This window comes from Homo sapiens, chromosome 14 (genome assembly GCF_000001405.40).
Source record: "Homo sapiens chromosome 14, GRCh38.p14 Primary Assembly".
In the NCBI taxonomy this organism is placed as follows: Eukaryota; Metazoa; Chordata; class Mammalia; order Primates; family Hominidae; genus Homo; species Homo sapiens.
In genome coordinates, this window is record NC_000014.9 from 39,495,307 (window position 1) to 39,520,714 (window position 25,408).

The following is a 25,408-nucleotide window of genomic DNA, read 5'->3' on the forward strand; positions in this document are numbered from 1 at the left end:
CTCCTGACCTTGTGATCTGACTGCCTTGGCCTCCCAAAGTGCTGGGGTTACACGTGTGAGGATGGCATTAATCTAGAGGTAAACTATAGGCACAATTATTATACAAGGTAGGAAGTAAATGTCATAAGAGAGTATAGACAAAATGCCCTTGGAATTATTTGGAGAGATTTACTCAGAGAATTCAGAAAGAAGTTTAGCTAACACTGGGCTTTGAAGGGTAAATGGTTTTTGAACATTCAGAAAAGGAAGAAGGTTACTTGTATCAGGCTGTTCTCATGCTGCTAATAAAGACATACATGAGACTCAGTAATTTATAAAGAAAAGAGGTTTAAATGACTCACAGTTCAGCATGTCTTGGGGAGGCCTCATGAAACTTACAATCATGGCAGAAGAGGAAGCAAACACATCCTTCACATGGAGGCAGCAAGGAAAAGTGCAGAGCTGATATGATTTGGCTGTGTCCCCACCCAGATCTCATCTTGAATTCCCATGTGTTGTGGGAGGGACCCAGTGGGAGATGATTGAATGATGGGGGCAGATATTTCCCGTGCTGTTCTCATGATAGTGAATAAGTCTCATGAGATCTTATGGTTCTACAAGGGGGAGTTTCCCTGCACAAGCTCTCTCTCTTTGCCTGCTGCCATCCATGTAAGATGTGACTTGCTCCTCTTTGCCTTCCACCATGATTTTGAGGCTTCCCCAGCCACGTGGAATTGTGAGTTCTCTGTTAAACCTCTTTCCTTTGTAAATTGCCCAGTCTCAGGTATGTTTTTATCAGCAGAATGAAATGAACTAATACAGTAAATTGGTACTGGTAGCATGGGGTGCTGCTGAAAAGATACCTGAAAATGTGCAAGCGACTTTGGAACTGTGTAACGGGCAGGGATTGGAACAGTTTGGAGGGCTCAGAAGAAGACAGGAAAATGTGGGACAGTTTGGAACTTCCTAGAGACTTGTTGAATGGCTTTGCCCAAAATGCTGATAGTGATATGGAAAATAAAGTCCAGGCTGAGGTGGTCTCAGATGGAGATGAGGAACTTGGGAACTGGAGCAGAGGTGACTCTTGTTATATTTCAGCAAAGAGACTGGCAGCATTTTGCCCCTGCCTTAGAGATTTGTTGAACTTTGAACTTGAGAGATGATTTAGGGTATCTGGCGGAAGAAATTTCCAAGCAGCAAAGCATTCAAGATGTAACTAGGATGTGGTTAAAGGCATTCAGTTTTATAAGGGAAGCAGAGCATGAAAGTTTGGAAAATTTGCAGCCTGACAATGTGATAGAAAAGAAAATCCCATTTTATGAGGAAAAATCCAAGCCGGCTGCAGAAATTTGCATATGTAATGAGGAGCTGAATGTTAATCCCCAAGACAATGGGGAAAATGTCTCCAGGGCATGTCAGAGGTCTTCATGGCAGCCCTTCCCATTACAGGCCTAGAGGCCTAGGAGGAAAAGTGGTTTTGTGGTCTGGGCCCAGGGTCCCGTGCTGTGTGCAGCCTAGGGACTTGGTGCCTTATGTCCCAGCCACTCTAGCTGTGGCTAAAAGGGGCCAATGTAGAGCTCAGGCCATGGCTTCAGAGGGTGCAAGCCTGAAGCCTTGGCAGCTTCCATGTGGTGTTGAGCCTGCCAGTGCACAGAAATCAAGAATTGGGGTTTGGAAACATCTTCCTAGATTTCAGAGGATGTATGGAAATGCTTGGATGTCCAGGCAGAAGTTTGCCACCGGGGCAGGGCCCTCATGAACCTCTGCTAAGGCAGTGCAGAAGGAAAATGTCAGGTGGGAGCCCCCACACATAGTCCCCACTGGGGCACCATGTAGTGGAGCTGTGAGAAGAAAGTCACCATCCTGCAGACCCCAGAATGGTAGATCCACTGACAGCATGCAATGTGTGCCTGGAAAAGCTGCAAACACTCAACACCAGCCCATGAAAGCAGCAGGGAGTGGGGCTGTACCCTGCAAAGCCACAGGGGTGGAGCTGCCCATGACCATAGGAACCCACCTCTTACATCAGCATGCCCTGGGTGTGAGACATGGAGTCAAAGGAGATCATTTTGGATCTTTAAGGTTTGACTGCCCCACTGGATTTTGGACTTTCATGGGGCCTGTAACCCCTTTGTTTTGTCCAATTTCTGCCGTTTGGAATGGCTGTATTTATCCATTGCCTGTACCCCTATTGTATCTAGGAAGTAACTAACTTGCTTTTGATTTTACAGGCTCACAGGCAGAAGGGACTTGCCTTGTCTCAGATGAGACTTTGGACAGTGGACTTTCGAGTTAATGCTGAAATGAGTTAAGACTTTGGGGGACTGTTGGGAAGGCATGATTGGTTTTGAAATATGAGGACATGAGATTTGGGATGGCCCAGGGGCAGAATGATATAGTTTGGCTCTGTGTCCCCACCCAAATCTCATATTGAATTCGCATGTGTTGTGGGAGGGACCTGGTGGGAGGCAATTGAATCATGGGGGCAGGTCTTTCCTGTGCTGTTCTCATGGTAGTGAATAAGTCTCACAAGATCTGATGGTTCCATAAGGGGGAGTTTCCCTGCACAAGCACCCTCTCTTTGCCTGCTGCCATCCATGTAAAACGTGACTTGCTCCTCCTTGTCTTCCACCATGATTGTGAGGGTTCCCCAGCCACATGGAACTATAAGTCCAGTTAAACCTCTTTCTTTTGTAAATTGCCCATTCTTAGGTATATCTTTATTAGCAGCATGAAAACAGACTAATACAAGAGTGACGGGGGGGAAAGCCCCTTATAAAACTATCAGATCTTGTGAGAACTCACTATCACTAGAACAGCATGGAGGTCACCATCCCCATTATTCATTTACCTCCCACCAAGTCCTCCTGTGACATGTGGGGATTATGTGAACTCAAGTCCAAGATGAGATTTGGGAGAGGACGGAGCTAAACCATATCAGTAGTTAATAGTCACAGAAGCTGGAAATCCTGAGGCATGTGTGGACTAATTGCACATATTCCAATTTGGTTAGCACGAACAGCAAATAAAATGGAGCAGAGGAAAATATGGCTGAAAAGGCTTTGAATGCTAAGTCATTTGGAATTCCTTTTGTAGATTGTCAGGAACCCTGAAGGTCCTTGAGCAGAGGGGTTACATGAGAGCTCTGTTATATGAAGATATTAGGATCTTTTGGATAATCTGGAGTTGGAGGACTAGAGATCAAATTAGATTGGAGCTACATCTTTACAAAAAATAAAGAAATTAGCAGGCATGGTGATGTGCACCTGTAGTCCGAGCTACTTGGGAGGCTGAGGTGAGAGGATCACTTGAGCCTGGGCAGTTGAGACTGCAGTGAACCATGATGGTGCTACTGTACTCCAGCCTGGGTGACAGAGAGAGAGCCTGTCTCAAAAAAAAATTGGAAGCTGATATAATGACTTTTGAGAACTGACAGACAGATACTCTAATTTGATGACAGTGGAAGTGAGATGAACTGGGTATGAGGATTAGAAAAAAGAGAGCTGGACTTAGCAGTTCTTAACAACTAATTAGATGTTGATAGCAAGGAAGAGAGAAGAGTCAGATTATTCTGAGGTTTCCTTCCTGGGTCATGAGAACAATGATTTCATTAATAAAAGTGTATAAGGGCATAAGAAGTGCGTAAGTTCTTAAGAAGAATATACTTACATGGGAAATTAATGAGTTCGATTTTGGATTTTTCAAGTGAAAACACTGGTGTGACAACCCAAGAGACATGGCCAACAAATTTGGAAATGTGGAATGGGAGATCAGAAGAGAAGTCAGACTAGAAGCATAAGATTTTAAATTTATCTGCATATAGCAGTACTCAAGATAGCTGCACTTCAGTAGCACCTAGAGAGCTTTAAAAAGTACATGTGCTGGACCCCAGAGATTCTGATTTAATTGGTAAGGCTAAAAATTTTGATTTAATCAGTTTGGTCAGTGATGCAGATTTAATTAGTATAGGGTAAGGACCTGGTATTTTTATAGTTTGTAAAGCTCCCCAGATGATTCTAATGTACAACCATGTTTGATAACTACTGACAGAGGTAATTCATGAGCATGAGGTTGGGCAGGATTTGAAAAGGATAGTATAAAAAGAGAGAAAAGAAAGTTAATGGTAGAGCCCTTTATAGCATTTATGTTCAATGAGTAGAAAGAGAAGTCAGACAATAGGCAAAGAGGTAGAAAATAAACCAGGAAAAGAGCCAGAGAGTTGAGAGGAGTCAGCAATGCCACATGCCACAGAGAGCAGAGGAGACTTCTAAGAAAGGATTTAATAGAGGCAGGGGGTGGCATTGGAGGACATGTTATAATTTGCTTTGTACATGCTTGTTCACTGTTCACTCCTGGTTAAGTTACAAATTCATAATTAAAAGGAAGAAGCTGAGAGATGAAAAGCTGAGAAAGTGCTTAGACAGGCAAGTTTACTGGGGTAAGCCTTCAGATGAGTGAAATGATTTCAGAACTTAGTTGGAGTTTTGGAATCCAGGATTTCAGAAATGTAGCAAACCTGCATGATGACAATCCAGTGGGCATAGTTCTGAGAGAGGAGTGCTGTAGTGGCCAAACATGTTTTAGGAGTCTAGGTCAGACAACTGTGAGGTTACAGTTCAGTGGATCTTCACATGTATGATTAAATCAGCTATGATGTGACAAGACTTGTAGTATAAAGGAGAATGCTGAACCAGATGCCTGAAGTCTTTTCTTTAACTGCTTATTTTAAAAATTGTCACATTGTAAGTGTATATGTTTATAGGGTACAATTTGATGTTTCAGTACATATCTGTATATGGATCATGTTGTATAATGATCCCATCAGGATAGTTAATGTGTCCTTCACTTCATGCATTTGTTTGTGGTGAGACCATTCAAAAACCTCTCCTCTAGCTATTTTGTGATACACAATATTTTGCTGTCAACCCTAGTCACCCTACTGTGCAATAGAACACCAGAATTTATTCCTCCTATCTAATTGTAACTTTGTACCTGTTGATTAACCTCTCCCCATCTTTCTCTCCTCCCTTCCCTCCCTTCCCTCCCTTCCCTCCCCAGTTTCTGGTAACCATTGATCTACTCTCTGCTGCTATAAAATCAACATGTGAATTTTTTCAGATTCCATGTCTAAGTGAGATCATACGGTATTTGCCTTTCTGTATCTGGCTTATTTCACTTAACATGATGTCATCTAGATTCATCACAGATTACATTACATTGATGTTGTTGCAAATAACAGGATTTTATTCTTTTTTATGGCTGAAGAGTATTCCATTGTGCATATATACCACATTTTCTGTATTCATCCATTGTTGGACATGTAAGTTGATTCCATATCTTGGCCATTGGAACTAGTGCTGCAATAAACATGGGGAAGTATATATGTCTTCATCGTACTGATCTCATTTACCTTGTATATATACCCAGTAGTGAAATTATTTGATAGGTAGTGGTTCTATTTTTAATTTTTTGAGGAACCTCCATATAGTTTTTTATAATGGCTGTATTAGCTTACAATCCTACCAGCAGTGTGTAAGTGTTCCCCTTTTTTCACATCCTTATCAACACTTGTTTTCTTTTGTATTTTTGACAATAGCCATTCTGACTGGCATGAGGTTGCATCTCATTGTGGTTTTGATTTGCATTTTCCTGATAATTAGAGATGTTGCACATTTTTTCATACACCTGTTGGGCATTTTTGGTGTCCTTTTGAGAAATATCTACTCAGGTCATTTGCTCACTTTTAAATCAGATTTTTTTTCTGCTATTGAGTTATGCAAGTTTTTAAAAACATAATCTGGGCAGTAACTCCTTGTCAGATACATAGTTTGCAAATATTTTCTCCTATTCTGTAGGTTTTATTTTCTCTCTGTTGTTTCCATTGCTGTGTAAAAGCTTTTCATATTGCTGTAATCCCATTTGTCTGTTTTTGCTTTTGTTGCCTGCACTTTTGAAGTCTTATTTTAAAAAAATTATTACCCAGCCCCATGTCGTGAAGTGTTTCCTCTATGTTTTATTCTATTTTATAGTTTCAGATTTTACATTTAAATCTTAATCCATTTTGATTTGATTTTTGTATATGGTGCAAGGTAGAGATCTAGTCTCATTCTTCTGTATATGGATATCCACTTTTCCCAGCACCATTTATTGAAGAGTCTTTTTACTTTTTAATTTTAGGTTCAAGGGGTGCAGGTGCAGGTTTGTTACACAGGTAGATTGTGTGATGCTGAGGTTTGAAATTCTAATGATCCCATGACCCAAGTGGCAGATACAGTACCTGATAGGTAGTTTTCAACACTTACCCCTCCCTCTTTTCTCCCTTTTTTTGGAATTCCTAGTGTCTGTTGTTCCTGTCTTTGTTCCATTTGTACCCAGTATTTAGCTTCCACTTACGAGAATATGTGGTATTTGGTTTTCTGTTGCTGCGTTAATTTGCCCATGACAGTGGCCTTCAGTTGCATCCATGTTACTTCAAAGGACATGATTTCATTCTATTTTTATGTCTGTGTAGTATTCTATGCTGCGTAAGTACCACATTTTCTTTATCCAATCCACCATTGATAGGTGCCTGGGTTGATTTCATGTCTTTGCTATTGTGAATAGTGCTGCACTAAACATGTGAATGCATGTAACTTTTTGGTATTAATAGAATGATTGATTTTTCTTTGGGTATATACCCAGTAATAGGATTGTTGGGTTGAATGATAATTTTATTTTCTGTTCTTTGAGAAATCTCCAAACTGCTTTTCACAGGGGCTGAGGTAGTTTACATTCTCACCAACATTGTATAAGCATTCCCTTTTCTCTGCAACCTCACCGTTATCCATTATTTTTTGACTTTTTATTAATAGCCATTCTGGCTGGTATTAGATGGTATCTCACCGTAGTTTTGATTTGCATTTCTCTAATGATTAGTGATGCTGAGCATTTTTTTTGTATGTTTCTTGGCTGCTTGTATGTCTTCTTTTGAGCAGTGTCTGTTCATATCCTTTGCCCATTTTTTTTTTTTTTTTGAGACAAGGCCTTGCCCTGTTGCCTAGGCTGGAGTGCAGTGGCATGATCATGACTTGCTGCAGCCTCGACCTCTGGGGCTCAAGCAATCCTCCCACCTTAGCCTCTTGAGTAGCTGGGACCACAGGTGTACGTAAACACACCCAGCTAATTTTTAGTTTTTTGATGGAGGCGAGGTCTCATTTTATTGCCCAGGCTGGTCTTGAACTCCTGGGCTCAAGGAACTCACCCACCTCTGCCTCCCAAATTGCTGGGATTACAGCTGTGAGCCACCATGCCCGGCCTGCCCAATTTTAATGGGGTTATTTGACTTTTGCTTGTTGATTTGTTTAGTTCCTTATAGATTCTGGGCACTAGTCCTTTGTTGGATGTATAGTTTGTACATATTTTCTCCCATTCTGTAGGCTGTCTGTTTACTCTGTTGATAGTTTCTTCTGTTGTGCAGAAGCTCGTTGGTTAAGTAGGTCTCACTTGTCAGTTTTTGCTTTTGTTGCACTTACTTTTGAGGACTTAATCATAAATTCTTTGCTTAGGCCAATGTCTGGAAGAGTATTTCTTAGGTTTTCTTTTAGGATTTTCATAATTTGAAGTCTTACATTTAAGTCTTTAATCCATCTTAGTTGATTTTTGCATATGGTGAAAGGTAGAGGTCCAGTTTCATTCTTCTGCATATGGTTAGCCACTTTTTGCAACACCATTTATTGAATAGGGTTTCCCCATTGCTTATTTTTGTTGACTTTGTCAAAGATCAGATGGATATAGGTGTGCAGCTTTATTTCAGGGGTCTGTATCCTGTTACCTTGGTCTATGTGTCTGTTTTTGTATCAGTATCATGTTTTGTTTACTGTAGCCTTGTAGTATAATTTGAAGTTGGGTAATGTGTTGCTTCCAGCTTTGTTCTTTTTGCTTAGGATCATTTTGACTATTCAGGCTTTTTTTTGTTCAGTATGAATTTTAGAATAGTTATAATTCTGTGAAAAATGACATTGGTAATTTCATAGGAATAGCATTGAATTTGTAGATTGCATTGAGCAGTATGGCCATTTTAATTATATTGATCCTTCCAATCCATGTATGTGGAATGTTTTTCCATGTGTTTGTGTCATCCCTGATTTCTTTCAGCAGTGTTTTGTAGTTCTCATTGCAGCAATCTTTAATCTCTTTGGGTAGATGTATTTCTAGGTATTTTTTTCTTTTCAACTGTTGTGAATGGGAGTGTGTTTTTGATTTGGGCAAGAGAGCAAGACTCCGTATCCCCCCCCAAAAAAGAAAAAAAAATGCTACTGACTTTTATACATTGATTTTGCATTCTGAAACTTTGCTGAAGTTGTTTATCAGGTCTAGGAGTCTTTTGGCAGAACCTTTGGGTTTTTAAGGTATAGAATGCTATCATCAGTGAAGAGAGACAATTTGACTTCCTTTTTTTCTATTTGGATAACTTTTATTTTTGTCTCCTGACGATTGCTTTGGCTAGGACTTCCAGTACTATGTTGAATACAAGTAGTGAGGTTGACATCCTTGTTTTTTTCCAGTTCTTAGATGCCTCCAACTTTGCCTATTCACTATGATGTTAGCCATGGGTTTGTCAGAGGTGGCACTTATTATTTTTAGCTATGTTCCTTTGATGGCTAGTTTGTTGAGGAATTTTATCATGAAGGGATATTAGAGTTTATCAAAATCTTTTTCTGCATCTATTGGGAGTTAGGGAGGAGTCTCTCCTTGAATTTTTGGAATGTTTCAATAGGATTGGTTCCAGCCCTTCTTTGTATGTGCGGTAAAATTTGGCTGTGAATCCATCTGGTCCAGGGCTTTTTTTTTGGTTGGTAGGTCTTTTTTATTACTGATTCAATTTCATTACTCATTATCAGTATGTTCAGGATTTCTGTTTCTTCCTGCTTCAATCGTAGGAGGTTTTGTGTTTTCAGGAATTTATTCATTTCCTCTAGATTTTTCTAATCTGTATGCATAGCAATGTTCATAGTAGACTCTGGGGGCCTTTTATGTGTCTGTGGAATCAGTTGTAATGTCACCCTTTGTCATTTCTGATTGTGCTTACTTGGATAATCTTTTTTTTCTTTGTTAATCTAGGTAGCCATCTATCAATCTTGTTTATCCTTTCAAAGAACTAATTTTTTACTTCATTGATTCTTTGTATGGTTTTTGGATCTCAATTTCATTTAGTTCTGCTCTGATTTTAGTTATTTCTTTTCTTCACCTCCAAGATTTCAGTTTGGTCATTTTAATATCATTCTTTTTAATGTCTATCTCTTTGTTGAATTTCTCATTCAGAACATGAATGTTTTCTTAGTTTCATTAAATTGTTTGTGTTCTCTTGTATCTCACTGAATTTCCTTAAGATCATTATTTTGAACTTCTTTTCAAGCATTTCATAAATGTCCTTTCCTTCGGAGCCTGTTACTAGAGACTATGTTCCTTTGGGAGTGTCATGTCCTTACTTTTTCTTGTTTCTTGTGTCCCTTTGTTGATATCTGCACATCTAATAGAATAGGGATTTTTTTTTGTTTGTTTTATGGAGTAGCTTTTGTAGGAAGAGATCTTTTTCTTGTAGACGCATCTAGAGTATTAATTGGGTATGGTGCGTTGGCTTTATTTCTGGTGAACTCAGTAACATGGTCCCCATGCAGTTTCTTCAGCTATTATTCTCATCAGTGATGTCTGTGATTGCTTCAGTGACCTAGGCTGTGGGAGTTTTGATGGTATTGGCACAGGTTTGCTGGGAGCAGGGGCACTGGTCTGGTTGTCAGGCTGGGTACATGCAGTCACAGAGGGCTGACAGGCTATCTGGTGGGCTTTCTGGAGAGGCAGAGCTGCCGCTGGACTGGATGTTGGGGTGAGTGTGGGTGTGGTGGTGCCAGGTGGCCCTGCAGTGGTGTATCCACGAAAGCAGGGATACCACAGGACTAGCTGTCAGGCTGGGCATGGGCACATATGGGCTCAGTGATCTAGTCAGCTTTGCAGCACAGGTGTTTGTGAAGTGGCTGGCCAGCTGTTCAGCGGCTTCCTTACTGTATAGGTTTGCCTGTTCCCTGGGAGTGGGGGTAGTGTGCTATGTAGGTTCAGATGCCAGGGTCTCAGTTGTTATGTGGCCTAGGCTTCACACAGCTGGGGTCATAGTGCTGCAGGCATCCAGATGAACTTGGTAGAATGATGGCGAGTCTCAGAGACAGTGAGATTCTGTCACAGAGATAGAGACTGGCTCTTAGTGCAGGGCACACTCTAGCTGAGGGTCCAGTGTCAACAAGGCATTGAGCATAGCAGCTTACATTGTTGAGGTGGGAGGTGCTCAAGGTAGGCTTTTCTGAGGCAATGCAGCTAAGCAAACTCCTGATTACTCTCCAAACTGAATTTGGAGCTTTTGAGGACTGGAGGACTCTCCTGTAGCAAGGACTGGCATTTGTGGTGGTAATGGGCACCACTGCATATATCCAGCATACCTCTTCCCTGTAAGAAGTTCCCCCTGACTTCAAGCTGATCTTGGGAGACAATGTGGCAAAGTCAGGGTGCCTTTCTCACCTCTCTATGGTGCTATCTGTGCTTCTGTTCTCCACAGGGATATTGCTGCTCCCCTGGTGTCTGCTAGCATACTTCCTCAGTCACTTTAGTTGACATATAGTTGTTTATTTATTGTTTTGGTCCCTTCATGTGGGAGAGAAGTCAAATCGACTTGGCAACCTTGATGATGTCACTACCTGGGATGCATGGAGTCTTACTGATTTTGAGGGAGTGGTTTGGAGGTTGGTAATCATGGTAATGTGGATGGGAAGAGAATAGTGGTTATATATAGACATGAGAGTTTCAAAGGAGAGGGCATTGTTGAGGGATATTTTTTAAAATCTGAAAATCACAGTGTGGACTGAGAGTGGTAGCCCAGCATTTCCTTCTCTGGTTACATGGATTCAAAGGTGAGTGAAAGCATGTTTTCTTTCTCTCAGCATCTTTGTTACTTCACTTCTCGAATAAGTTTCTCTTTGTTAGAATTAGGTTCAGAATAGCAATTTCCTTATTGGTTACTCTGTTTTCTGAGAAGTAGAATTATCAACAAAGAAACAGGAATATTTCAGATCATCTACTATGTAAGAATCAAATGAGATTGTGTATTTCAGAGTGTTTTAAAAAGAGCAAAGTATTCCAAATATCTTTATTCCTATTAATCACGTTAAAAATGGAATGAGAACTGAACTACCCATAAAGTTTCTACAAATGATGCCATTATTTTATAGATGAGTAAAATTTTAATTGAAAAAACCCAACATTGTATAAATTATTAAGTTCTTAAGTTCTTAAGCCCTTTTATACTTGGTCCTGTGATCCTGGGGTGGTGACTCTGTGGACCCCATTTTGACTTTATAAGCTGCTTTCTGTTGGGGTATACCAGTAGGGGGTTTAAAAGGGAGACTGGTAGGCCGGGTGAGAAAGGACTTGATTCTTTCCATGGGCTTGCAGCTTTCTTTCTGCCTTCTGTCTGTTCCTGTGAGCATCAGTCCTGCAACACTTCCTCACCAGGCAGGTAAAATTCCCTCCTATATATATATTTTGAGATTGCGTCTCCTCTGTAGCTCAAGCTGGGGTGCAGTGGTGTGATCTTGGCTCACTGCAACCTCTGCCTCCGCAGAAAATTCTTGTGCCTCAGCCTCCTGAGTAGCTGGGATTACAGGCATGGGGCACCACACCTGGCTAATTTTTTGTAGAGACGGGATTTTGCCATGTTGGCAAGGCTAGTCTTAAACTCCTGGCCTCAAGTGGTCCACCAGTCTTGGCCTCCCAAAGTGCTGGGATTATAGACATGAGCCACTGTCCCTGGTCTCCTCCTATAGTTTATCTAAAGCTAGTATGCAAATTTTCCAACACCCGAAGAAAAAAATTTATCATGTACAATCCCCTTTGTTCCCAACATGTGCACCAAGCAAGTGGCATCTCTTCTTCAGAGGTTTGGGTCCCCATGGGATCCTTCTTCCACATTTCTAAGTTTTAACAACCTCTTCCCTTGTTTCCCCAACTCTATCAGTGGTACCTATTTCTGTAAAGTTGCTCTATCTATGATTTCTTAGGGGGTCTCTTTTGTCCTCCAGTTTTCAGTTCTTTGTATTAAATTCTTTCTGTCCAAATGGCTGATATGGTTTCTGCCTCTTTATTGAACCCAGACTAATAGAATTGTCATACTAATTTGTTAATTAGCAAGACAATTTAGGGTCATATCTTAACTGTACATTCTGTCTAGTATTTACTATTTATACTGTTATCCATAATACTTAGTGAATAATGATGACATACACTAAAAATTAATTAAAACACAGATATTATCTATAATAATAAAAACCAAGTTTAGCACTATGAAAAACTTACTACATTGCTTTTATTTTTATCATTTTATTTCATAGTGGTGAAAACTTCATCAGAACCTCACCAACCTGTGGTTCCATTTAGGAACTACCTAATTAATAAAAAGGATTAGGCTTTATGTTAAAATCTTTCACTTCAGCCAAGAATAGCAAGTTTAGTAATTGAATGGACATTTCTGAGCTCCAAATCAATCCAAGATTAAGCTCTGAATTTACTTTTGAAAGACAGAATATAAATGCCCATCATAAAAATTCAGTTTGAGGTGGTTAATTTGAAAATTTCTGAGATCAGTGTTGTTCTTTTAGTATCTTTCTTCCCTATGGAACTTTTAAATTTAAGATAGAAATCTTCAGTTTAGAAATCAGGGGAAAATGGTGAATAGGAGGCAGGACTAACTTGCAGCTGCCACTTGGATAGACAAACAAGGTGTGGAGACTCACATCATGAACTTTTATTCCAAGAACTAACACAGGAACATAGCAGAAAAACTGAAAGAATTCACAAACCCTTTGAAAGAAACAGCTTGCTGCTGCAAACTCCATGAGACAGCTGAAAAATTTTTCCCCAAAGTGTGAGAAGGTGAAAGTCAGCCTCTGTCCAGACACCCTCACTGGAGGCCTGAAAATCCAGATCACGAGAGAAGGATTTAACTTTACCTAGAGCTGAAATGAATGTAGAGAGCTGAGCGAAACATAAAAGTAGAAGAAGCAGTGGGAAGAGCCCTGTAGGCACTCCCAGTCCCCAGAAAGGCCCAGGGAAGCCATTTCTGACTTTATCTCACAAGGGTCCTTGAGGAGGACTGCCAGTGGAATTTGGGGAGTGCCAGAGGGAGAAATAAACTTTCAGCTGAATGTTGTAATAATTTCAGCTGAGTGCAAATTTTCCAGGGCAGAATCTCAGGGTTGGGAAGGTGAATGGAAAGTGCAGGTATGAGCAAAGACACCATGGTGGAGGAGGGGGTGAAGCCTGAAAGTCCTGGTTGTTCTCTCAGTGAGGAGACTTGTAGCCTGGGGCAAGTTCTCAGCCCTGCTCACTGGTTGCCTGGATATAAACTCGATGCTGTTGGGGGAGCATGGTGGGCATGAGATTGGTCTGTTTAGCTGCATGGGAGAGGGGTGAGGCCTGTCACTGCTGGCTTTCCCCCACTTCCCTGGTGACCTAATATCCGGAATCTACAAGAAACTCAAATTAGCAAGAAAAAAAAATCCCCTCAAAAAGTGGGCTAAAGACATTAATAGACAGATCTCAAAAGAAGATATTTAAATGGCCAACAAACATATAAAAAATTGTCAACATCACTAATTATCAGGAAATGCAAATTAAAATTGCATTGTGATATCATCTTACTTCTGCAAGAATGGCCATAATAAAAAAAATAAAAAAAAATAGATGTTGAAATGGATGTTGTGAAAAGGGAACACTTTTACACTGTTAGTGGGAATGTAAGCTAGTACAACCACTATGGAAAACACTGAGGAGATTCCTTATAGAACTAAAAGTAAGTCTACCATTTCATGCAGCAGTTTCACTGCTGAGTATCTACCGAGAGCAAAAGAAGTCATTATACGAGAAAGATACTTGCACATGCATGTTTATAGCAACACAGTCTGCAGTTGCAAAAATATGGAACCAGATCAAATGCCCATCAATCAATGAATGTATAAAGAAAATGTGGTATATATATACTATATGGTATATATGTATTCCATGGAATACTACTCAGCCATAAAAAGGGACAAAATAATGGAATGTATAAAGAAAATGTGATTTTATATAAATATATATATATATATACATACACACACACACACACACACATACACACCATGGAATACTACTCAGCCATAAAAAAGAACAAAATAATGGTATTCACGGCAACCTGGATGGAATTGGAGACCATTATTATAAGTGAAGTAGCTCTGGAATGGAAAACCAAACATCGTATGTCCTCACTCATGAGTGGGATTTAAGCTCTGAGCACACAAAGGCATAAGAATGATACAGTGGACTTTGGGGATTCACTAGAGATTTATTAGGATTTATTAGAGAAGTAAAGAAACGAAAGAATGAGCTGCTTAAATCAAAGCCAAAATGCATTTCCTATTTACCAAAGAATCCAGTTAAAAGTAGTATTTAAAGAATAAATTCCCTGAAGATGTAACAACCTAAGATTTTATCCTCAAATGAGAATAAATTACCACTTTCTGGTAATTTCAAATCATCCTTTCTTCATTCAGTTTCTTCCTCCCTCTTTTTTTCTTCCATTGGGGTATTTTCTTGAAGAAACTGTAGCCAATTCTGGTTAGTCTAAGTCAAAACATAAACTTATTAATAGAATACAGAGATAATTAACAGAATTGAATGTTGAAATAGATGTTGTGAAAAGGGAACACTTTCACATTGTTGGTGGGAATGTAAGCTAGTACAACCACTATGGAAAACAGTGAGGAGATTCCTTATAGAACTAAAAATAGATCTACCATCCAGGAGAAAGTGTTAGAGGGTGGTGAGGGATGAAAAAACCACACATTGCATACAGTGTATATTGCTTGGGTGATGGGTGCACCAAAATCTCAGAAGTCACCACTAAAGAACTGATTCATGTAACCAAACACCACCTGTTCCCTAAAAACCTATTGAAATAAAAAAAAGGCTATGTTCACTAAAAAATTAGATTGAATTAATTATGTGTAGCCAAAGAAGGTTAGTCTATATTCCTATCTCCATATTGAATAAAAGAATTTAAAAAGAATAAATTAATGAAATAAAAAACACTTCTATTTCTTTGAGGTTTCTATCATCTTTGTTTAACTCATCTCACAGTGCAGCACAGTGTATTTTCATTAAATCATGTGCACCTGTTCTTTTCTCCCCCACACCACTTTTTTTTTAGCATACACTTTAGTGATCCAGAGCATCTTATCTTTTATATTCTGTATCCATAAACTTCTGTTTGTCTTTAAACTTTCAAAATAAGAACGCTTAACTTTTAAAGTCTAAATTATATGGTCTTAAGAGTTGATCTAGTTCAGACATGGTCTCATAATAACTTAATTTACGGAAGAGGAATTACTGTTTTAGATTAACACCAATATTTAAGTTTATATGGTGATGGTGACAGGGCCAGCAACGACTTTATTTTGTTCTCTCTGTAGGAACCATTTTCTGGGTAGACATGAATACTTTAAAAACCAAGCATTTATACACCAATAACAGACAAACAGAGAGCCAAATCATGAGTGAACTCCCATTCACAATTGCTTCAAAGAGAATCAAATACCTAGGAATCCAGCTTACAAGGGACGTGAGGGACCTCTTCAAAGGAGAACTACAAACCACTGCTCAATGAAATAAAAGAGGATACAAACAAATGGAAGAGCATTCCATGCTCATGGGTAGGAAGAATCAATATTGTGAAAATGGCCATACTGCCCAAGGTAATTTACAGATTCAATGCCATCCCCATCAAGCTACCAATGACTGTCTTCACATAATTGGAAAAAACTACTTCAAAGTTCATATGGAACCAAAAAAGAGCCCGCATCGCCAAGTCAATCCCAAGCCAAAAGAACAAAGCTGGAGGCATCACGCTACCTGACTTCAAACTATACTACAAGGCTACAGTAACCAAAACAGCATGGTACTGGTACCAAAACAGAGATATAGATCAATGGAACAGAACAGAGCCCTCAGAAATAATGCCGTGTATCTACAACTATCTGATCTTTGACAAACCTGACAAAAAGAAGAAATGGGGAAAGGATTCCCTATTTAATAAATGGTGCTGGGAAAACTGGCTAGCCATATGTAGAAAGCTGAAACTGGATCCCTTCCTTACACCTTATACAAAAATTAATTCAAGATGGATTAAAGACTTAAACGTTAGACCTAAAACCATAAAAACCCTAGAAGAAAACCTAGGCATTACCATTCAGGACATAGGCATGTGCAAGGACTTCATGTCTAAAACACCAAAAGCAATGGCGACAAAAGCCAAAATTGACAAATGGGATCTAATTAAACTAAAGAGCTTCTGCACAGCAAAAGAAACTACCATCAGAGTGAACAGGCAACCTACAAAATGGGAGAAAATTTTTGCAACTTACTCATCTGACAAAGGGCTAATATCCAGAATCTACAATGAACTCAAACAAATTTACAAGAAAAAAACAAACAACCCCATCAAAAAGTGGGCAAAGGACATGAACAGACACTTCTCAAAAGAAGACATTTATGCAGCCAAAAAACACATGAAAAAATGCTCACCATCACTGGCCATCAGAGAAACGCAAATCAAAACCACAATAAGATACCATCTCACACCAGTTAGAATGGCAATCATTAAAAAGTCAGGAAACAACAGGTGCTGGAGAGGATGTGGAGAAATAGGAACACTTTTACACTGTTGGTGGGACTGTAAACTAGTTCAACCATTGTGGAAGTAAGTGTGGCGATTCCTCAGGGATCTAGAACTAGAAATACCATTTGACCCAGCCATCCCATTACTGGGTATATACCCAAAGGACTACAAATCATGCTGCTATAAAGACACATGCACACGTATGTTTATTGCGGCATTATTCACAATAGCAAAGACTTGGAACCAACCCAAATGTCCAACAATGATAGACTGGATTAAGAAAATGTGGCACATATACACCATGGAATACTATGCAGCCATAAAAAATGATGAGTTCATGTCCTTTGTAGGGACATGGATGAAATTGGAAATCATCATTCTCAGTAAACTATCGCAAGAACAAAAAACCAAACACTGCATATTCTCACTCATAGGTGGGAATTGAACAATGAGAACACATGGACACAGGAAGGGGAACATCACATTCTGGGGACTGTTGTGGTGTGGGGGGAGGGGGGAGGGATAGCTTTAGGAGATACACCTAATGCTAAATGACAAGTTGATGGGTGCAGCACACCAGCATGGCACATGTATACATATGTAACTAACCTGCACATTGTGCACCTGTACCCTAAAACTTAAAGTATAATAATAATTAAAATAAAATAAAATTAAATTAAAAAAACTAATCCAATGATTATAAATTCTTTTTTGGCAAACATAGATTCAGGTTTAGGGGAATAATACAAACCTAAAACATACTTAAGCTAAATGATTTCAAATTATTCAATCCATCCTTCCAATTATGGTGGTGTGTCATTTTACTAAAGCATGGTAATGTTGACTTTTCTTTATAAATGATATAGATAGTGCTTTAAAATTTTTATTATTTGTTGGAGGTTATCACTTTGAATTATTTTTATTTCATCTAATTTGTTTTCTCTGAACTTTAATTTTATCTTTCAGCCTAAGTCTAGCAATATACCAGATTGTGGTTGCCTCAAATATGATTTTTTAATATATTGATTTTAGCTATTTTCTTTTAGTCATTCTAAAATCTTTTTAGCATTTGCCAGAAAAACTCATGAATGATCCTTAGTGATCAGAAAAGACACAGGAGTTCAGAACATTGCATCAATTTACAACAAATAAATGAGCAAAGATGATTAAGTTTATGATGATACCTGTAGTAGATACCTTGTATGTTCACTGTTTAACTCAAAGGAATTGCCCATTACCTGGAATAATCTCCAACATGGTCAGTGTGCATCCATTGACCACATCTATACAGTGACCTTCTGTAAGTTAGTTTCTGTGTGTAACAAACTTGTCTAAGAGGGCATACCTTATCCAACCTAGGTCAATTAGATTATTTCTCCAAAGAATTTAAAACTTGGAATTGAGACATACAGAAACTAGAAGTTTTGGGGATCTGGTCACATCAATGGCAGTGCTCTTCAATAAAGTCCATGAACTCCTGTTTTTGAGATCTCCAGAGTTGCGGTTGTTCTTTCCAATCCTGGGTATTATGTTTTCAATTTTTCTTTAATTCTGTTAATTATCTCTGTATTCTATTAATAAGTTTATGTTTTGACTTAGACTAACCAGAATTGGCTACAGTTTCTTCAAGAAAATACCCCAATGGAAGAAAAAAAGGTGGAGGGAGAAACTGAATGAAGAAAGGATGATTTGAAATTACCAGAAAGTGGAACGTGGAAAAAACAGAGTAAAACTAGTTTGAGAATAAAATCTTAGGTTGTAACATCTTCTGGGAATTTATTCTTTAAATATTGCTTTTAACTGGATTCTTTGGTAAATAGTAAATGCATTTTGGTTTTGATTTAAGCAGCTCATTCTTTTGTTTCTTCACTTCTCCAATAAACTTGCTCTCACTTAAAAAATGCCTTGTAGAACAACTCATGATAATTATTACTGTTGGGAAATAGGAGAAACATATTGTATTAGTCAGAATTTTACAGAGAAACAGAACCAATAGGAGATATCTATCTATCTATCTATCTATCTATCTATCTATCTATCTATCTACCTATCTATCATCTATCTAAATATATGACTATAGATATAGATGAGGGGATTTATTATAGGAAGTGGCTCATATGGTTACGGAGGCTAAGAAGTGCCATGGCCTGCTATCTGCAAACTGGAGAACCATAAATTCTGGTGGTGTGATTCAGTGCAAGTCAAAAAAGGCCTGAGAATCAGAGGGCTGTTGGGTATAAATCCAAAAGCCCAAAAACCACTTGTGTCAATGTCCAAAGGTAGGAGAAAATGAATATCTCAGCTCAAGCAGAGAAAGTAAACTTGCCCTTCCTCTGCCTTTTTGTTCTATTCAGGCCCTCAATGGATTGAATGATGCCCACAGATATTTGTGAGAGCAGATCTTCCTTACTCAGTCTACTGATTTAAATGCTAATCTCTTCTAGAAACAGTCTCATACTTGTACCCAGAAATAATATTTAGCAGCTCTCTAGATATCCCTTAGCCTAGTCAAGTTGACACACAAAAGTAACCATCACAGATATTTTATTTGGCAATTGTATTAAAATTAAACAATTTTATATCCTCCCAAAAAGGAGAGGAATAACTTTAGTGACTTTCTGTGTTTCAGAGTATTGAGAATCTATACTTAAGGAAATGGCTCTTATTTATAGGAAATAGTTTGCTATATTTGATCTTAAAACACCTAGCTTTGCAAACTGTTAAACCCAAACACTGTTGTCTCAATCCGAAAATGTGGAACAGTAACTCACATTGGTAAATTTTGGTTACACATGTCATTAAGGTAGTTACTTACCTTTATGTGTCTGTTCATTTATCCTACTGATGTTTATTACATACCTATTATTTGTTAGACTCTATACTAGTGCCTGGGTTTCAGTACTTAAGAAAATAGACAAAATCTCTACTCTTGAGATGTTTATAGTCTAGTTTTAGAATGGGCACTTTTTGGGGTTGTTAATCAACTTTCTTTTTTAATCAATTTGATGTCCATTCAGATTGTATAAATTGAGACCCTGTAGGGAACTGTTTGAGTATGGGGTTGGGGGGATTGATGGAGGACAACAAAATGTTCACTATATAGACATCAAAAATTATTTAAAATATTCATAATTTTGTTCATTGATGTGGAACAGTGTTCATATTTTGATTCTGGTTAAAAATGAAATTAATATGGCAAATTGAGAAGACTGGGAAATTTGTGAATATATATGCATATTTATAGATGCAAAAATAAATATATATTTGCCACACACATACATATACACATGCACAAATACTGTGTAAATATTCTTAATTAGCTATTTTGCCAGATCTGGCCCCAGTGCTTATTTAACTATCCCCAGGAATTTTAGCATATAGAAGATATTTTAAACTACACAAAATAAACAGAAGCATAGTTTATCACTTTTATAAGTTAATTGCAATATTGATATGTAATTAACTCTAATGAATTCAACAGTCATAAATCATTCAATTGATTTTTAAAACCAATCATTGTCCCACTTAACTAATTGCTGATGGTCATTTGCATTTCATAAATGTTACTACTGTCTGTGAATGTACCCATGTTGTGCTAATGCTAGTTTTATCTGTGAACTGAGATTGGAAGTTATAGCACTGGTTTTGGTCCTTGGGCCTGAATTATTTTTGAAAATACTAAGATTGGTTACCTAGACAAGTTTTCTCTTCTGAAAACTGCATTTTCTTACTAACTTAGTAGACAAATCCAAATTTTGCTATCAATTAGCAGAAGTTTTTAAGCGCAGTTCTCAAAGTAGTTCTCTTTTTCAGCAAGTCTGCAAGGTCAAAAATGTTGCATATTAATACTCAGAATAATTTTTCACTTTTCACCTCCAGAGACTACATAAAGTGATGACATTATGGCTCTTATGTTAATATGTTGAGTTTATTATGATTTTTAAATAAATGAATGAATACATATGTAGATATTTTCTCAGTTTTAATGTCTAATGTGATAATGAGTGATAGGATGCACATAAGCAAAATCTCCTTGGGATCTTCCATAATTTTGAAGATGATAAAGGGATCCTGAGATCAGGAAACTTGAGTATTAGTGGCTTAGGGTAATGTAAACAGTTATTTCAGGAAGTTAGTGTTCACAGTATAAAATTCCAAATGCACTCATTTGGATATTTATGCATTTTTTCTGTGTCTTATATAGTTGCCACAGTGTGTCATATAAGCTAAGTAATAAAATGTTGTCTAAAGTGTTTTTAAAAAGTTTGCAGAATGATGGTTACCAGAGGCTGGGAAGAGTAGTGGGTGGAGGTGGGGACACACGGGGATAGTTAATGGGTTCAAAAATATAGTTAGATAGAATGAATGAAACCTAGTATTTGGTAGCATAACAGAGTGACTACAGTCAACAATAATTTGTTATACATTTAAAAATAACTAAAAGAGTATAATTGGAATGTTTGTAATACAAATAAATGATAAATGTGTGAGGTGATGGATACCCATTTTTCCTGATGTGATTATCACATCCTGTATGCCTACATCAAAATACCTCATGTATCCTATAAACATTTATATCTACTATGTACCCACAAAGATTAAAAATTTTTTTAAATTTACACTTTTTAAGTTGCGATAAAATATACATATAAAATTTACTTGGAAGTCCTAGCCAGAGAAATCAGGCAAGAGAAAGAAATAAAAGGCATCCAAATGGGAAAAGAAGAAGTCAAACTATCTCTCTTTGCTGACAGTATGATTTTATACCTAGAAAACCCTAAAGACTCCAGCAAAAAGCTCCTGGAACTGACAAATAACTTCAGTAAAGTTTCAGGATACAAAATCAATGTACAAAAATCAGTAGTATTTCTTTTTTTTTTCTTTTTTTTATGTGTTTTTTTTAAATTTTATTATTATTATACTTTAAGTTTTAGGGTACATGTGCACAATGTGCAGGTTAGTTACATATGTATACATGTGCCTTGCTGGTGTGCTGCACCCATTAACTCGTCATTTAGCATTAGGTATATCTCCTAAAGCTATCCCTACCCCCCTCCCCCCAACCCACAACAGTCCCCAGAGTGTGATGTTCCCCTTCCTGTGTCCATGTGTTCTCATTGTTCAATTTCCATCTATGAGTGAGAATATGCAGTGTTTGGTTTTTTGTTCTTGCGATAGTTTACTGAGAATGATGATTTCCATGGATGATTTCATCCATGTCCCTACAAAGGACATGAACTCATCATTTTTTATGGCTGCATAGTATTCCATGGTGTATATGTGCCACATTTTCTTAATCCAGTCTATCATTGTTGGACATTTGGGTTGGTTCCAAGTCTTTGCTATTGTGAATAGTGCCGCAATAAACATACGTGTGCATGTGTCTTTATAGCAGCATGATTTGTAGTCCTTTGGGTATATACCCAGTAATGGGATGGCTGGGTCAAATGGTATTTCTAGTTCTAGATCCCTGAGGAATCGCCACACTTACTTCCACAATGGTTGAACTAGTTTACAGTCCCACCAACAGTGTAAAAGTGTTCCTATTTCTCCACATCCTCTCCAGCACCTGTTGTTTCCTGACTTTTTAATGATTGCCATTCTAACTGGTGTGAGATGGTATCTCATTGTGGTTTTGATTTGCATTTCTCTGATGGCCAGTGATGGTGAGCATTTTTTCATGTGTTTTTTGGCTGCATAAATGTCTTCTTTTGAGAAGTGTCTGTTCATGTCCTTTGCCCACTTTTTGATGGGGTTGTTTGTTTTTTTCTTGTAAATTTGTTTGAGTTCATTGTAGATTCTGGATATTAGCCCTTTGTCAGATGAGTAGGTTGCGAAAATTTTCTCCCATTTTGTAGGTTGCCTGTTCACTCTGATGGTAGTTTCTTTTGCTGTGCAGAAGCTCTTTAGTTTAATTAGATCCCATTTGTCAATTTTGGCTTTTGTCGCCATTGCTTTTGGTGTTTTAGACATGAAGTCCTTGCCCATGCCTATGTCCTGAATGGTAATGCCTACGTTTTCTTCTAGGGTTTTTATGTTTTTAAGTCTAACGTTTAAGTCTTTAATCCATCTTGAATTAATTTTTGTATAAGGTGTAAGGAAGGGATCCAGTTTCAGCTTTCTACATATGGCTAGCCAGTTTTCCCAGCACCATTTATTAAATAGGGAATGCTTTCCCCATTTCTTCTTTTTGTCAGGTTTGTCAAAGATCAGATAGTTGTAGATACACGGCGTTATTTCTGAGGGCTCTGTTCTGTTCCATAGATCTATATCTCTGTTTTGGTACCAGTACCATGCTGTTTTGGTTACTGTAGCCTTGTAGTATAGTTTGAAGTCAGGTAGTGTGACGCCTCCAGCTTTGTTCTTTTGGCTTGGGATTGACTTGGTGATGCGGGCTCTTTTTTGGTTCCATATGAACTTTGAAGTAGTTTTTTCCAATTATGTGAAGAAAGTCATTGGTAGCTTGATGGGGATGGCATTGAATCTATAAATTACCTTGAGCAGTATGGCCATTTTCACAATAATGATTCTTCCTACCCATGAGCATGGAATGTACACCAATAATGTTCAAGCTGAGAGTCAAATTGAGAATGTTATTACATTTACAAAAACTGAAAAAAAATTAAAATACCTAGAAATATATCTAACTAAGGAAATGAAAAAATCTTTACAAAGAGAACTATAAAACGCTGTTGAAAAAAACCAGAGATGACGCAAACAAGTGGAAAAACATTCCATGTTCGTGGACTTGAAGAATCAATACTGTAAAAAAAGGCCATTCTGCCCAATGCAATCTACAGATTCACTGCTATCCCTATCAAACTACCAATGTCATTTTTCACAGAATTAGAAAAAAATGATTCTAAAAGTCATATGGAACCAAAAAAGAGCCCAATTCACCAAAACAATCCTAAACCAAAAGAATAAAGCTGGGGACATCACATTACCCAATTTTACAATATTATAAGGCTACAGTAACCAAAATAACGTATTACTGGTACAAAGACAGACTCACAGACCAATGAAACAGGATAGAGAATCCAAAATTAAGCCACACACCTATACAGTCACCAGATCTTCGACAAAACCAACAAAAATAAGCAATGGGGAAAGAAATCCTTATTCAATAAATGGCGGGATAGCTGACTAGCCACAGGCTGAAGAGTGAAACTGGACCTTTACCTTTCACCATATACAAGATGGATTAAAGATTTAAATGTAGACCTAAAGCTATAAGAATCCTAGCAGAGTCTCTAATAAAAATACAAAAAATTAGCTGGGTGTGGTGGTGGGATCCTGTGGTTCCAGCTACTTGGGAGGCTGAGGCAGGAGGATGCCTCAGGTTCATGCGAACCTGGGAGGCAGAGCTTGCAGTGAGATCGTGCCACTGCACTCCAGCCTGGGCGACAGAGTGAGACTCTGTCTCAAAAAAGAAAAAAAATCCTGGAAGAAAACTTAGGAAACACCATTGTGGACATTGGCGGCCTGAGAAAGAATTTACGACTAAGTCCGCAAAAGCAATCTCAATTAAAACAAAAATTGACAAATGGGACCTAATTAAACTGAAGAGCTTCTGCACAATAAAATAAACTTATCAACAGAATAAACAGACAACCTACAGAATGGGAGAAAATATTTGCATACTATACATTTGACAAAGGTGTAATATCCAGAATCTGTGAGGAACTAAAACAATTCAATAAAGACAAATAACCCTATTAAAAAGTAGGCAAAAGACATGAACAGATACTTTTCAAAAGAAGGCATACAAGTGGCTAACAAACATATGAAAAGATGCTCAATATCATTAATCATCATAGAAAGGCAAATCAGAAGCACCATGAGATACCATTTTACACCAATTGGAATGGCTGTTAGTCAAAACAAACAAACAAACAAACATGGTGGTGGGACTGCAGAGAAAAAGGAATGCTTATACACTGCCGGTGGGGATGTAAATTAGTTCGGCCATTCAGTTTAGAGATTTCTCAAAGAATTTAAAACAACTACCATCTGACTCAGCAATCCTATCACAGGCTATATATCCAAAAGAAAACAAATAATTCTGCCAAAGAGACACGGGCATGCACATATTCATTGCAGCATTATTTACAATAGCAAAGATATGGAATCAACCTAGGTGCCCATCAATGGTGGATTGGATAAAGAAAATGTAGTACATATGCACCGTGGAATACTACACAGCCATAAAAATGAAATCATATCCTTTGCAACAACATGGATGCAACTAGGAGCCATTATCCTAGGCAAATTATGCAGGAACAGAAATTCAAATACTGTAAGTTCACACTTATAAGTGAGAGCTAAATATTGGGTACTCATGGATATAAAGATGGCAACAGTAGACACTGGGGGCTAGTAGATGAGGGAGGAAAGGAGAAGGGAAAGAATTGAAAAACTGTTAGGTATCATGCTCAGTACCTGGGTTATGGGATTATTTGTATCACAAACTTCAGCATCAAGCAATATGCCCACGTAACAAACCAGCACATGTACCTCCTCAATCTAAAGTAAAAATTGAAATTATAAAAAACAATAAATAAAAACTATCAATTGTTTTACACATAAAATATTTTCCATCTTTACCACTTTTAAGTGTATAGCTCATTGGAAATAAATACCTTTATATAAACATAAAATTTTCCCTTATTCCTCTCCCCTACATTTTCTGACCTC

The 25,408-nt window shown here is 38.0% G+C and overlaps 2 long non-coding RNA genes across 14 annotated transcripts in view; both read left to right on the forward strand.

Moving 5' to 3' along the window:
- LOC105370460 (uncharacterized) overlaps positions 1 to 18,612 on the forward strand; it is a 39,079-nt gene extending 20,467 nt beyond the window's left edge. Inside the window, exon 3 of the long non-coding RNA XR_001750731.2 lies at positions 18,311 to 18,612. This is a non-coding gene — a long non-coding RNA (uncharacterized LOC105370460). The remainder of the gene's footprint in view (positions 1 to 18,310) is intronic.
- LOC105370461 (uncharacterized) overlaps positions 1 to 25,408 on the forward strand; it is a 433,650-nt gene that overhangs the window by 62,958 nt on the left and 345,284 nt on the right. The gene's annotated exons all lie outside the window — the stretch shown is intronic.